The 14,720-nt window shown below is 48.2% G+C and overlaps 1 protein-coding gene and 1 long non-coding RNA gene across 7 annotated transcripts in view, besides 1 other annotated feature; both read right to left on the minus strand.

Annotated features, from left to right (window-relative positions):
• The window catches only part of B4GALT1 (beta-1,4-galactosyltransferase 1), an 81,013-nt gene that overhangs the window by 15,498 nt on the left and 50,795 nt on the right, over positions 1–14,720 (minus strand). For 5 of the 6 annotated variants that reach the window (XM_047423231.1, NM_001378496.1, NM_001497.4 and 2 more), the window contains one exon: positions 845–1,032. The exons of the other annotated variant lie outside the window; for it this stretch is intronic. In XM_047423231.1, the coding sequence (XP_047279187.1) occupies positions 845–1,032 (188 nt within the window). The remainder of the gene's footprint in view (positions 1–844; positions 1,033–14,720) is intronic. 6 annotated transcript variants of the gene reach the window in all.
• Positions 5,247–5,296: an enhancer, noted in NCBI's record as "active region_28273". NCBI's record gives its function as "activates an Ori minimal core promoter by ATAC-STARR-seq in GM12878 lymphoblastoid cells {active_cell/tissue: GM12878}" and the evidence as "EXISTENCE:reporter gene assay evidence [ECO:0000049][PMID:35858748]".
• LOC124902141 (uncharacterized) lies at positions 8,237–12,675 on the minus strand. The gene is made up of 2 exons (XR_007061455.1): positions 10,702–12,675; positions 8,237–9,415 (listed from the first exon to the last, which is right to left on the minus strand). It is a non-coding gene; the product is annotated as an uncharacterized LOC124902141 (long non-coding RNA).

Below are 14,720 nucleotides of genomic sequence, written 5' to 3' on the forward strand. Positions count from 1 at the left end.
ACATGCTGGCTCATGCCTGTAGTCCCAACTACTCAGGAGGCTGAGGCTGCAGGATGGATTGAGCCCAGGCAGTCAAGGCTGCAGTGAGCCATGATTGTGTCACTGCACTCCAGCCTGGGTGACAGAGCAAGACCCTGTCTCAAAAACAAAACAAAACAGGCCAAGGAACATCTGCTGAGGTATACAAGCTAAATAATTCAGTGGGGGAAAACTATTCCAATTTACTTTCCAAAACTTGTGGGGCAAGAGAAAGAAAAAAGCAAGAAAATACAGTATCATTTGGAGCTTAAAGATGAGAGCCCCTCCCAAATGCTAAAAACTGTTCTTAGGCCAGGCATGGTGCCACATGCCTATAATCCAGCACTTCGAGAGGCCAAGGCAGATGGATTGCTTGAGCTCAGGAGTTCGAGACCAGACTGGGCAATACAGCAAAACCCCATCTCTACAAAATATACAAAAATTAGCTGCGCATGGTGGCAAGTGTTTGTAGTCCCAGCTACTCAGGAGGCTGAGGTGACAGGATGGCATGAACCCGGGAGGCAGAGGTTGCGGTGAGCCAAGATCACGGCACTGCACTCCAGCCTGGGTGACAGAGCCAGACCCTGTCTCAAAAAACAAACAAAAAAAAAAAAGGGGGGAAAATTTGTTTTTGTCTGGATGTGCAGAGACTACAGGCATTTCTGGTCTCTTCTTTCCATCTCAACTAATACAAAGCACCCATTTCTCAGAGGAGGCATTCTGCTCCAGAGCTTAAAGAGGCACTCTTGAGCTGCCAGGACTGCATTTCCTAGTCAACACATGAGAGAGACATGTTTACCACAGATTCTGACTGAGTATCTCTTACCTGAATCCAAACTTATCCATTGCAACGGAAATGTGCCGTGGCTGTGAAAAACACCTGTACGCATTATGGTCATTCATTGGAATGAGGTCCACGTCACTAAACACAAAGCAGGTGTAGTCATAGTCCTTCAAGGCTTCTTGAAAGCCAACATTGAGGAGCTTAGCACGATTGAATATAGTGTCTCCCGCCTGGTGCAGAAACAAAAACAGTGATATCAAATGCCTTAAAGCCTTTGGGCCAAACACTCACAGGGACTGGTGACTTGTCCACTACACATGGTCACTAGGAAACTCTTGGGCCTCACTTTTCTGCCGTCACTCTACAATCAACACAGAGTACCAAAACCTCTGAGTCAGCAATTCCCCTCTAGAAATATATCCTGCAGAAGGACTTGCATGTGTGTGAATGACTATGAACAACATTGTCACTGTGGAATGTTCATCATAACAAAAGACTGCAAAAAACAGAATAATCAGTAGGGAACTGGTTCAATAAATCATAGTACATCCATACAATGGAATGGAACTGTTAAAAAGAGGCAGCTCTAAAAGGAAAGGTGAAAAAGGCATTTAAACACATACATCATTTATTTATACACACTATAAATAAACTCCAGGAAAGGTATCCAGGAAACTGGTGACATTAGTTGGGTACCTATGGGACTTTTCACTTCTACCTTCCTTATATGGTTGACTGAGGTTTGATGACCACATTGTGTGCCTTCCATCTACCTGTCAAGCACAAACCTAGGCACCTGAGAAATACAGCAAACCCAACTCAACCTCTGCCCTCACAGTGCTCACCATGGAGGGCAGAAGGCCATGCCATACACACCAGGACAGAAGCAAGGTGTGCAAGACAGAAGAGGGACACCTGCTTCAGGGTGCCAACCACGAGGTCCCCAGGCACCAAGTGTGCTGGTGCAAAGGGAATGCATATTTTTATTTTTATTTTTTATTTTTGAGATGGAGTCTTGCTTCATCACTGAGGCTGGAGTATAATGGTATGATCTTGGCTCACTGCAACCTCTGCCTCCAGGATTCAAGCGATTCTCCTGCCTTAGCCTCGCGAGTAGCTGGGATTACAGGCATGTGCCACCATGCCCGGCTTTTTTTTTTTTTTTTTTTTAATTTTCAGTAGAGATGGGTTTCACGTTGGCCAGGCTGGTTTCAAATTCCTGACCTCAAGTGATCCGCCTGCCTTGGCCTCCCAAAGTGCTAGGATTACATGTATGTTTTATTTGTTTTCTTTCAGTAAGAATGTAAGCTCAATGAAGGTTAGGATGTTTTGTTTTTTTTATTCACCCAGTTCCTTGAAGACTGCTTCTCACACAATAAGAGCTCAACAAATAGTTGCTGGTTGGCTGAATGAATGAATGAATGAATGGGGTTCAACATACAATGGCAGATGGTGATCCCTTCTGGGAAGCTCGACCAAAGAGCCCTGTGAGGGGTCACCACAGGGATCACATTGTGGGGTAGAGTTGGGAATCTGGTCTTATCAATTCCCATGGCCCCAGGTTAGTAAGGACAAACCTAGCACTGACATTGCCACGCCTCACTCTCAGCAGTTCACAAAGCCTCCTGCACACATGCTGTTATCCTAACCAGAATCTTCACAACACCAACATGAGGAAACGAACTAAGGCCCAATACTTTGGAATCCTCATTCAATGCTCTTTCCCATCTCTCTTGGGATCAACATAGTCAGAGCCCTCTACTTTGGGGAAAAAGTGTGTCATAGGGGCTTGCGACTGGTACACAATCTCAAAAGTGGGATGCTCAAAGTCTTCTCTCCATGCCCTCAAAAGATGACCTGGGCTGGGCATGGTGGCTCACACTTGTAATCCTAACACTTGGGAGGCCAAGGTGGGCAGATCACTTGAGTCTAGGAGCTCGAGACCAGCCTGAGCAACATGGTGAGACTCTGCCTCTACAAAAAATTACAAAAATTTGCCAGGCATGGTGGTCCCTAGTACTCTGGAGGCTGAGGTAGGAGGCTCAACTGATCCCAGGGAGGTTGAGGTTGCAGTGAGCCATGACGGCACCACTGCACTCCAGCCTGGGCGGCAGAGTGAGACCCCCATCTCAAAAAAATAAATAAATAAATAAATAAAACCAAGACCTGGAAACTGGCACTCCAAAAGGCTGCCTGTGTGCGTACAGAATGCACAGATGTGCCACAGCCACCCAGACTCAGGTGGGGAACTTGGGGAAGCAAACCACTTAGAGAAAGAGAGGCACCAGAAAGAGAATCAAGGAAACATTTTACACACAAGAGCTCCTTTTTTAAAGCCTCTGACAAAGTTTTCTAACCCCGCGTGGTGAGTGAAGGAGCCCAAAGGCACACTGTGTTTTTTGGCTGTCCCACAGGCTGAGTTGATTTGGAATTCTGCGTTCAGCTAATTCTGTGTAAGTCATGGGTTCAAAGAAATTCAAAGTTTAGGCTGGGCGTGGTGGCTCACACCTGTAATCCCAGCATTAGGGAGGCTGAGGCGGGCAGATCACTTGAGGTCAGGAGTTCGAGACCAGCCTGGCCAACATGGTGAAACCCCATCTCTACTAAAAACACAAAAAATTGCCGGGCACAGTGGCTCACGTATGTAATCCTAGCACTTTGGAAGGCCAAGGCGGTGGATCACCTCAGGTCAGGAGTTTGAGACCAGCCTGGCCAACATGGCGAAAGCCCGTCTCTACTAAAAATACAAAAATTAGCTGGGTGTGGTGGCGGGCGCCTGGATTCCTAGCTACTCAGGAGGCTGAGGCAGGAGAATCACTTGAAGCCGGGAGGTGGAGGTTGCAGTGAGCCAAGATTGCGCCACTGCACTCCAGCCTGGGCAACAGAGCGAGACACTGTCTCAAAAAAAAAAAAAAAAAAAAAAAAGTTCAAAGTTTAGAAATTGCATATGAAAATTATGAAGTTGTTGGAATTATTATAATATACTGTGAATATTCACTGGTGGGGATACCATACACAAGGCATGGATAAGTGTTTCAAATGGCATTTCATTTAATCATCTTGACAATCTTGTAACAACCCTCACCCCAGCCCAGACTTACACTGTCAAACACAATTCAGCCCCGTTGAGCACTTTCCAACAAGCAAAGGGAGGTATACCAACAGAGCCTTTCTACATCTATGCACTAGACCCCCAGGGCTGCCCAGCCCAGGACAATGCTCCCTTCTCTTGGTACACTCCCCAACAACTGCAGCAGAGGGCTCTTTGAGGCCATGTCTCTACCATAGGACTGGGCCTACTGGCCTTGGCTGTTTGATCTAAGCAGAGGCCTAACTGAGACTGAACTAAGCATTTTTCCTCTCCCAGGAATTGGAATTTTGGAACCACGAATGAGCACCTCTGCAGCCAAGGCCCATGAGCAATGGCACCCTGGAGGAGAAGCCCAAGAAGCAGACCTGGTTCCAGCCCCTTTCACCGCCCGGGGTGCCACGGCCCTTTCAACGTGGTGAGATGCCCCAGTGTCCGGCCCAGACTTAAAATTGGTCAGGCAGTTTTCCAAAATAACCTGAACTATATATCCCTCCCTTTCTCCCTCATCCCAGCCTGGCCTCATCTGTGGGATGCAGTGAGACGGAAGGGCATGGTGCACTTTAGCAGGTGCTATCATCTATCAGGGGCCGTGGGTACACCAGGCCAGCAGAACAGTGGAGGAGGAAAGTGTCCTCCCCGGAATGACAGAAAAGTCAAGCATTTTCTAGGCTGCTTTGGGTGAAATGCTGTAACACTGGGGCACACACCTTCTTTGATAAGAAAGACAGGCCCTGGCAAGCTCACCAAGCCCCACCACTCACAAGAGGCGGGAAGACGCCCAGCTTCACTCCTGCCCTCCTCACTGAGCACACTCATCGGTACCTCTGCCCCTCCATTTGCTCAAGTAAACATTGATCAAGCACCAAATACACCACAGTGACAGACACATGCATTTTTAATCCCAGGAATGCTGGCTTCTTTATTTATTAGCTATGTGACTTGGGGTACATCACACCTCCAGGCCTCAGTTCCCTCTTTTGTGTTATGGGGAGAGCATGTGCATTGTATTAAATGAGACAACATTGTCTACCAACATAAGATTAGGTCCACCCTTTAAAAGCTGGGTTTTTCAGAATTAAGAAGACCCAGCCCGGGGAGGCTGAGGTTGCAGTGAGCCATGACAGCACCACCGCACTCCAACCTGGGTGACAGAGACCCCATCTCAAAAATGGGGCCCCACTGCCTGACAACAAATGTTGGCTACTATCATTACAGGAAGAGGCTTTCCCATCCATCTTGAACAGTCAGACCATTCCAAATGTCTCTTAGATATCCTACCTGGAGACTCTGCCTTCTGTAGTGTTTGCTTCAAAATTCCTCCCAAATCCTGCTTCTCTGATGAATGGGAAATTACTAAAAACATTTAAGGCTCAAGGGAATTAGCCTGTGGCTTACATGATTAGAGTTTCTCACAGCAGAAGAGAGTCAGGGGGACCTCTGGAGGCCTGTGAAATGCGTAGGAAGTCACGCTTGGTGAAGAGAAGCCAGCATGCTGGGTGCAGGTGTCCCTTTCAAAGACGCAGCTTTTAAAGGGTGGGCCTAATCTTATGTTGGTAGACAAGAGTTACAGTTATCCCTTCCTTCTAGGTCAACTGGCTGCTTTTAGAAGGAGAAGACAGGCCCCCAAAAGAAAGGCCAGAAAACATATAAAATCCCCAAATGATTGAGCAGAGACTGCCACAAGATGGGGACTGGAGACAGCAGACAGAATCGACCAGACATAGACTCTGGAGGCGGTGCTGGGAGAGAAGGCATCTGTAGGAGCAGAGAAAAGCATGCATGGTGAGAGCATTTGTAAAGGCGGTAAGGAAAAGAGAACAGCCAAGGAACTACAAGAAATTCCGAATGAGTGAAGCCAGAATGAAACATGAAGGCAGCGATGAGCCAAATCACCGAGGCTGGGGAGAAGGGTTAGGTGCTTGTTAAGATACTTAAGCTTTATCTTTATTTAGGCCACAGGGAGCCTTAAACCATGGTTTATATGTCAAGGAGGGATTTGTGCCCCAATCCAACTGAAGGCAAGGAGACCAGTTAGGAAGCTGTTGTATGATTCCTATGAGGCAACAACCGTGGGTAAGCAGACAGTGCCTCCCCCAAGGGCCAAAGGCAGGGGCTCCACTTCCACTTCCATGCCCCACCTGCTCCCTGTGTATGTGCACTACACTTGCAAGCAGCCTTTGTAGGGGCGGGGCGAGAGGTTCAGGACAGGTGCTAGAATCTGGTCTAATCCCCAAGAAAATCCTAACTGTGGTTAAGGAAGGCAAGTGTGGCCTTCCCCTGATTGCAACAGGGGACAGATGACCAACTACAGAAAGCCAAGGGCCACTCTTGTCCAAGTTCCAACAGCTTCTGGAAGAACTGTTCTGTCCAATCACCCTGCCTTCCCTGGATGTCAGGTCCATGTGTGTATATCAGCAGACACATCCCTTATCCATAATGGCTTAGGGACCAACTGTGCCCAGCCTCTCCTGCACCAAAAGACACAGCAGCAACATGGCTGGAACCATTAACCCAAAGCCAAGACTCGCAATGAGTCAGAACTTCTACGTGATAAGAGAGACACTGTTGCTCCTATACACATGCCCTGGCTCATCACAGAGCCACACCCCTCCCCACCATGCAAGAACGCAGCACTAAGCTCTCAACAGGACAGATCCGGGGGCAGGTCTGCAGCCAGTGGCAATGTTTGCTGAAACACCCTCTGTATGCTTTTCTGTGCCCACTGAGACAGTAAGAGGAAGGAACTAGGCCGAGTGGGTTGCATGAAACAGTAACAGATCAGCGGCAGCAGAAGCTCTGACGGGGCATTCCTATAGGCCTAAGTGTGGATCCTGGAACAGTGGACAGGCTGGGAGATGATCCCCAGAGAATTACTGGAAACAGCCTGGGATTATACAAATGCTGAGTTTGTGGAGGGCTAATAATATCTACTCAGCCATGAGTTCACAGCAGTTGGGCTCTAGTTTTGCTTTTGTTGTTGTTGTTTTTTTGCAGGGGAGACAGGGTCTCGCCATGTTGCCCAGGCTGGCCTTGAGCTCCTGGACTCCAGCAATCTTCTCACCTCAGCCTCTTGAGAAGCTGGGACTGTTAGCACATGCCACCACACCCAGCTGGGCTCTAGTTGTTAAACATTGTTAACTATTGTTAACCATAGTTAACCATTGTTAACATTGTTAACTATTGTTAACCATAGCAATATGGTAGCTCAGAGCTCTCAACAAAACTTGGATCTGAGATTTAAACTCTTCACCCCAGTGAGTGAGAGAGATGGGCCTTCAAGGGTTAGGGACCAGGCTATGGGAGTGGTTCTTGGTCAACCAAAGACACCACTCTCAAGAGTGAGCATACCCTTGACCCCTGCCACACAGGAACACAGACTGGACTGAGGCTATAAAGTTGCTTTCAGAGAGAACTGAGCTCCTTGAAGAGCCCAACAGGGATTCTGGGTGAAGTGAGCACAGAAGAGACAGTTTTTGTTTGTTTGTTTTTTTGTTTTGTTTGTTTGTTTTTTTAAAATGGAGTCTCACTCTGTCGCCCAGGCTGGAGTGCAGTGGCGCGATCTCGGCTCACTGCAAGCTCCGCCTCCCGGGTTCATATCATTCTCCTGCCTCAGCCTCCCGAGTAGCTGGGACTTTTCAAGTGCCCGCCACCACGCCCGGCTAATTTTTTGTATTTTTAGTAGAGACGGGGTTTCACCATGTTAGCCAGGATGGTCTCGATCTCCTGACCTAGTGATCCGCCCACCTCGGCCTCCCAAAGTACTGGGATTACAGGTGTGAGCCACCACGCCCAGCCAGAGGAGACAATTTTAAACCCAGCTCCAAGGAGCCAGCGCAGGATGCCTGCCTCTCCCAGGGCCCGACACACTGAAAAGTGGAGACGTGGCTTTCCGCAGATATATCAAGACAGTGGTGCTAAGCATGTTCAGGATGTTTAAGATACAAGTTGGAGAAAAATACTTAAGAAAAGCTTCTCTTTCAGAAAGCAATTTGGCCATCTGTATTAAGAACTATAAAAATGTGTAAACCATATCTGAACCCATAATCCCACATCTGAAAATCTAGCCTGGGAAAATGATCCTAAATGTGGAACAAACCAACACAGAATAAACTTCAGACTCCAAGATGTTCATTATGGTATTACTTACACTCACGGAAAATTGGACATTACCTAAGGGACTTCTAAGAGAGAAAAGACAAGTTAATTATGATGGAATTCTACGATCAACTACTATGAAGGTATGGAAAGTGATGATGATGAAGACTATGAAATAACATGGGAAGATGCTGATGATAAAGAATTTAAGGAAAAAGCAGGATACAAAAGTTTATACACACACAGCATGAGCTCAACTGTGGTTTAATTTAAAAGAAGTTAAACTCTCAGACCCTGTATGACGGGCTGGCTTCCAGCAACCTCAGCATTTCCGAGAGAGCCCACAGAGGCCCTGGTCTTGCCTAGGAGACCCCAGGGCCTGAGGATGGCACACTCATGGGATTATTTACATAGCCTCCCCCTGACCAGCAGGGCCCTGGCTCTGGGTTGATTTGAGGACATGTGAACATTACCAGGGTGGTGGTGGCAGCGGTGGTGGCAGCAGCAGTGGCAGCGGTAGTTAGGTCGGCATTCCTCTCTCTCTCTCTCTCTCTAGGAGGCGGAAAGTACAGAAGAGAAGGTAGGTGGAGAATAAGAAGCAGATCAGAGAGGAACTCCTCCTTCCACTTGCTTTGCTACAAACAGGATTAACAAGTAAAGGTAAAAGGCCCCTGCTAGAAGGAAAACAAAAAAGAAGAAAAAGAGAAAAGGGTGGATGCAAGGGAGAGAGGTGAGGAAAAGAGAGGCAAATGTCAAAGCTGCAAGGGAAAAGGGGCCCATTCTGATGACCACTGTTCCAATGCAAAAACAAATTCCTAATAAGCTGTCATTCCTTGTCACAGAGTCATGGGTGAGCAGAAAAAATGGCATTTCCCAGAACAATGTCCATGGAAGCAATTCACCAGCAAATTGAGTCCCCAGAGAACAGAGACACACATAGACTAGGTGGGGCACACAGCAAAGGGGCAACACTCAAACAGTGATGGTGCAGAGACACTCCCTGGCCTTCCCACTCCCATTCCCCACCCCGGCAAGCTCCAAAGGGTCCAAGTGCCCGAAGGAAGGGGAGGCTACAGGACAGGACCAGCCCTACCCCACTCCTCCCAAGCTCCGTTCCCACACACATCAATCTGTGCACTGACAGCTGAGGTAGAAAATGGAAGGCCGGGATGGGGGGATGGTAGAGATGATCAAGATAGAAACCAAACCAATGAGGCCATAAGCCCAGGCAGCTGTCCTCACTAATGGGATAGACCCAGGAGTCTGCTTCTCCCCAGTTGATCTTGACCTTGTGTAGGAACCAGCTGCTTGGACCAGTGACAGAGACAACTGCTGAGGTAGGGTGACAGATACTCTTGCTCACTGAGGGTACAAAGGACTGTCTCCAAATCCATCCTCAACCAGCCTGGAACTATCACCCCATCATCCTAAAACAGTGCACAGAAGAAAAGGAAACAGTAGAAAACTTCAAAGCCAGACAGAGTCCTCAGGGCAGCCCTCCCTCCATTTCTCCACAGCCTTTCAGGCAGGCTCCAGCTCTGCTTCCTGGCCATCGTGTGCTTACCTGTGGAGCCTTCCCTCTGCAGGAACAATCAGAAGACCATTTGCCTTACTCTGGGGGATGGGGGGAGGTGGGAGGTTCAAAATTCAAAGTGAGACCATAAAGGTGCTGAGTCCAAAGGACCCTAAAGGAGTTTTGTGACCATTAACAATCACAAGGCTAAGGTATTAATAGGTTTTCTGCATTTTTCCTGATAAGGGAGGTCACCCCAAGGACTGTCACAGGCAGCCTGTGCTCTGGTCAGCATTGAGCTGGAAGCTTCGGGGAGAGGCCCAAGGGAGGGATCCTGCAAGTTCCCAAGGGTCAGGACCTGGCCCCACTGGGAACGGAGGCTTCACTTCCAAGAGGCACAGATTTAGGCAGAAGACCAGGAGTAGGGAGTCCTGAGACTAGGGATAAACAAAGGGGCAGGAATCCTGGAGAGAAGCCCCGTGCTCCACTCACTGACTGCGTCTGTACTGACTATGTACCAGCTGTGTGGTCAGAGAGAAAGAAGGGAGGCAGACATGAGGGACTCAGAGTCCGGGGGCTGGGGTGAGGCTGGAACTCAGATAATCATCCCTTTCCAGAAAGTTCTGAGCAGCCTGGGAGCAGCAGGGAAGGAGAAGTCAGCTCTATTCCAGGGGCTCCACAGAACTAATGAGGTTGGGGAGGGAAGCTTAAAAGATAGCCAGAGACACACTAGGAACACAGGGGACAGCATAAGCAAAGGCACACAGAGGGGAGAACAGAGGTGTCTGGGTGGAGATGGGGAGTCCAGTGAAGTGGAGAGGAGGAGGAAGTGGCTGGAGGTAGGTCAGGGTCTCGGATGCTAAGCTTGGGCCTTCCGACCATTTAGACCGTTGCCTGTAGGCAGTCGTGAAATGCTAACAGGTTTAAAAGAGGAAGTAACATGGTCAGAACCAGAAAAATCCTGGGCAGCTGAGGGAGAGGAACAGAGGTGCCAGAAGATATGCAATCGGAATTGGAGAGACCAGTTCTGTGTACTGGCTGTGGGGCAAAGGGCTGCCATGGTTGTGACAAACCCACCTGGCCAGCTGTGCCTGCATTCCTTACTCATTTTGTAATTTTTATGATGGGCAATCCCACAAACATTCTGCATTCCTTAATTTAGGGCTAGTGCTACCAGGTGGTGACCTGCCCTCCCTTCACCTTGAGTGAAGTCTCGTTTCCGGGTTTGAGTATTAGGAAATGCAGCATGCATCCCTGTTTGCTATGATGTCTTCTCCTTCTGTTGCTTCTTTTCTTGCTGCCGTTGAAGTTGGAATGCTATATCTTGAAATCCACGTCTCAGAGTACAAGGAGTCAAATAGTATTCTCCCATGCTGGTGAGCTAAGGTCAGGGGTGGGAGGAGAGACCTTAAGGAAAAAGAGCAACTCTTGTTCTTCTATATCTCAACCAGGAAAGCCTCTCCCGGCTCATTCCTTCAATATCCTTATTTTAAGATATAAGTTAGTACAATAATTACAGAGGCATAAGCCAAATGGGAGTGGTTAACAGCTTACTATAGACAGAGTATGAGTCATAACAACTTGTGAAAGTTCACTCCTGTGTGTAAAGCTTGATACGTGGCCCTATTTTGAAGAGGCTTATAGGCCCGGGATGGCCTCTGAGATTCTGCCACCTGGCTCACTCCACTATCCATTACCCTCTGACTCCAAGGAGTTCAAACCAATAGGAGGAAGGGTCCTGATGCGGGCCCTGAGTGGGGGTGCAGCAGGAGGCGGTGGGAGCCATGAAGAATTCACCACCACAGAAGCAGGCAGAGGAAGCAGGCAGAGGAAACAGGCAGGATGAATGGAGAGTGGAGAGGCAGGAGTGGACCCTCCTAGTAACGGCTGGTATTTACTGAAGGTTTACCATGAGAAGGATGCCTCATAACCCTCCCCACCAAGGAGGAAACTGAGGCCTGCAGAGCTTAAGTAACCTGCCTGAGGTCACTGACTGTAAAGTGGCAGTGCCAGGACTGAACCCAGGCAGTCTGAGCACACAGCACACTCTCAGCCCTGGATACCAGACTGTGAGCAACACTGGGGGCACCCTGGCCATGAGGAGTGTCACTGATGCCCTGAGAAGGCACTAAACCTGGAGTCAGACGCTGGGGTTTGAGCCGCAGCCCTACTGTTGTCTATGTGACTTTCGGAGCCTGTCCCTCTCTGAGCCTGTTTCCTCACCTGTGACATGGAGCAGAAGTTTCTACATTGTCTGGCCTCAGGGGTCTAGGCAAATCCTAGCAGTGACTGAATGGGAAGCCAAGGAAGTGGAAATGGGACATGGCCCCTACTTCAAGTAGAATGAAACCCTTGTGACCTGCTGTAAGCGGAAGGTTGTGTAGCATTTCAATGGGGCAGAAAGAAATCTGATACTGAAAAGCCTGTTTGGGAACCCTTGGACTAAATGTCTCAGAAGCCACTCCATTTTGAGCATTACTTCTGTCTAATCTTAAATGGTATGTGTGTGTGTGTACATGTGTGTGCATGTGTATGTGTGTGTGGGAATGAAAAGTCAAAATGACAGCAGGGTGTCTGGGCCAGGGATAAGCTGAGAGGCTATAAAGAGGGCTAACAGCCCATAAGGTTTATTTGCTCAACAAACAGTGCAGAAAGGTCAAAACCAGGTGCTACAAAATCCCTTTCTTCTTCTAGAATATAACCATAAAACAGATAACACAGGCAGTTCCTAATTTGTAGACAGGATGTGCTCCAAATGTTTCTCCTTCCACCTCTTTTTTTTCAGGGTTCAGGTTTCCCATTACCATTTTATTATTTATTAGGTAATATTCTTTACTGGAAAGGTATGGCAGAGTTTAAGCATTTCTCAACTTAGTTATCTGGACTCTGACCATATTTTCCCAAAATGATCAATTAGGGTGAGATTGGAGCAGATGATAAGAGAGTAGCTGGGGAAGTGGGAGAAAAAGCAGAAAAGATTCTCCTAAGGTGGAAAGTTAACCCTTGGAGAAGGAAAGGATGAAGAGAAAAAAAAGTATGAGGAAAAGCAAAGAAAAAAAAAAGATGATATTGACAAGATAAGAAAAAAGGAGGTATATATGTTTGAAAAACCAAAACTAAAATATTCCTGATGCTAAGTTGTGAAGTGGGAAGAGGAGGGAGGGAGGGAGGACGGGCAGTTCCTAGTGTTCCAGGGAAAGCAGGGAGGCAGCTGGGAGGAGATGCTAACTTAGGCCCGCTTTCCCCAAAGTGTGACTCACAAAACACTCATCACTTGAGACGGTTCTTGGAAAAGTTGTCTCGTCAGGCAAGCTCAGGAAACACTTCTGGGGTTACAGTGTACACCGGGGTACCAAAGGCTCTGCGGGAATGAGACCTGCTTTACATGGTTCAACCCAACATTCCTCAAGCGTATTTCGCTCCATTTGGGGAAGCACACTTTTGGAGAAGCACTCTCTTAGGTGGTGCCCAGTGTTAGCCAGCACAGCTGTGCCACCGGTCTGAGCTGGCTTGGTTAGTTGTTCCATCTACTCGGATTGAGGTGGGCAGGAGCATGTAGCTGGCAGAGGACATTCAGAAATCTACTGTGTTGAGCCTGGGGAGTATGTAAATTGTATCATAGGAATTTAAGCTGATGGCTAGATTTTACTGGTCCAATATTTGACTTCAAAACAGGGAAGTCTCACATTCACCTAAACTGCAACATATCTAGACGTAGCATCCCACCCTCCAGTCTTCCTTGAAAACAGCCACCTCAGTTCAAAAATTCAGCATCATCGCTAACTCTTTTATCCTCTTTACCCAAGTATATATTTTATTTATTTATTTATTTATTTTATTTTTTTGAGACAGAGTCTCACTCTGTTGCCCAGGCTGGAGTGCAGTGGCATGATCTCGGCTCACTGCAACCTCTGCCTCCTGGGTTCAAGAGATTCTCCTGCCTCAGCCTCCCGAGTAGCTGGGATTACAGCCGCCCACCACTATGTCCAGCTAATTTTTGTATTTTTAGTAGAGACGGGGTTTCGCCATGTTGGCCAGGCTGGTCTTGAACTCCTGACTTCAAGTGATCCGCCTGCCTTGGCCTCCCAAAGTGCTGGGATTACAGGCATGAGCCACTGCGCCTAGGCCCAAATATATATTTTAACCTACCTATATGGCACCCAGACCACAGCTGTCTGTCTTCTACTCAGGCAGATTTGTGGGATGCTATCAGATGCCCTGCTGAATAAGATATGACAGCATTGTATCCACAGTACATCCCTCATCTACTGGCATAGCAACTGTCAAGAGAGAAACGAGATGCAGCTGGCACGGCTTATTAGTCATCCCTGCTGGCTCCTGGTGATGGTGGCCGCCTCTTCCAGGTGCTCGCTGCCACTGCTTTAATAACAGGCTCCTGAATCTTGCCGTCATTGGTATGTGCTAACTGGCATCAGACAAATGTTTCTCAATCACAGAGCTTTTCTTAAATGAATATGTGTTGGGTTAAAGTGACCCGCATTTTGCAGGACATTTACCTGTTCTCTCTTGCATTCTCCAATATTCTTCCAAGGTGACCCACAACTGCGTGGCTGTCTTGCTTGCAGGTGTTCATAGGGCCCTGGTCTGTACCTCACTTGGCCGAAGAATTCAAACAGCCTCAAGGGGTTTGCCCACCACCTGCTCTCCTGCTTCAGTTTCCTTGTAACAGGGCTTGTTCTGCTCTCTCCTGCCTCACAGGCTTAACTCTGACACCTGGTCCCAGAGCTTCTGGTGCTTTCCTACCCCAGTGGGCATCTCAATTTCCAGGAACATGCAAGGCTCCTTTCTGCCTTAAGGTCCCTGCTCACTGGCCCCAGCTGAGAAGCCCATCTCCCTGCAGACTTTAGAACCTAGTTTATATCCTGGTTCTTCCAAGCCATTGCTCTCTCTCCTTCCTCTGAGCTTCCAAAGCATTTGGCAGCCACCATCCAATCACAGGATATTTGGGTCTGTTAACAAATTGTTCCCTGGGAAGGTCCCACTTGCCAGAAGTGGGTTGGAGGCTTCGGGACAGGGCAGGACTGAGACCTTACACTTCTTCAGAATCTCCCTGCAGCAAGTGATGCAGCACAATGCCACAGCAGTCCTCGAGTGCTTCCCCTGGGGTCATAGGGAAGGTGCACAGAGTTCCTTGACCTTGATGGAAGCCGTAAACTGCCAACAATCCTCCTACCTAAAGCAGAGTTTATCTCGAAATG

The sequence above is a fragment of the Homo sapiens genome, chromosome 9 (assembly GCF_000001405.40).
Source record: "Homo sapiens chromosome 9, GRCh38.p14 Primary Assembly".
In the NCBI taxonomy this organism is placed as follows: domain Eukaryota; kingdom Metazoa; phylum Chordata; class Mammalia; order Primates; family Hominidae; genus Homo; species Homo sapiens.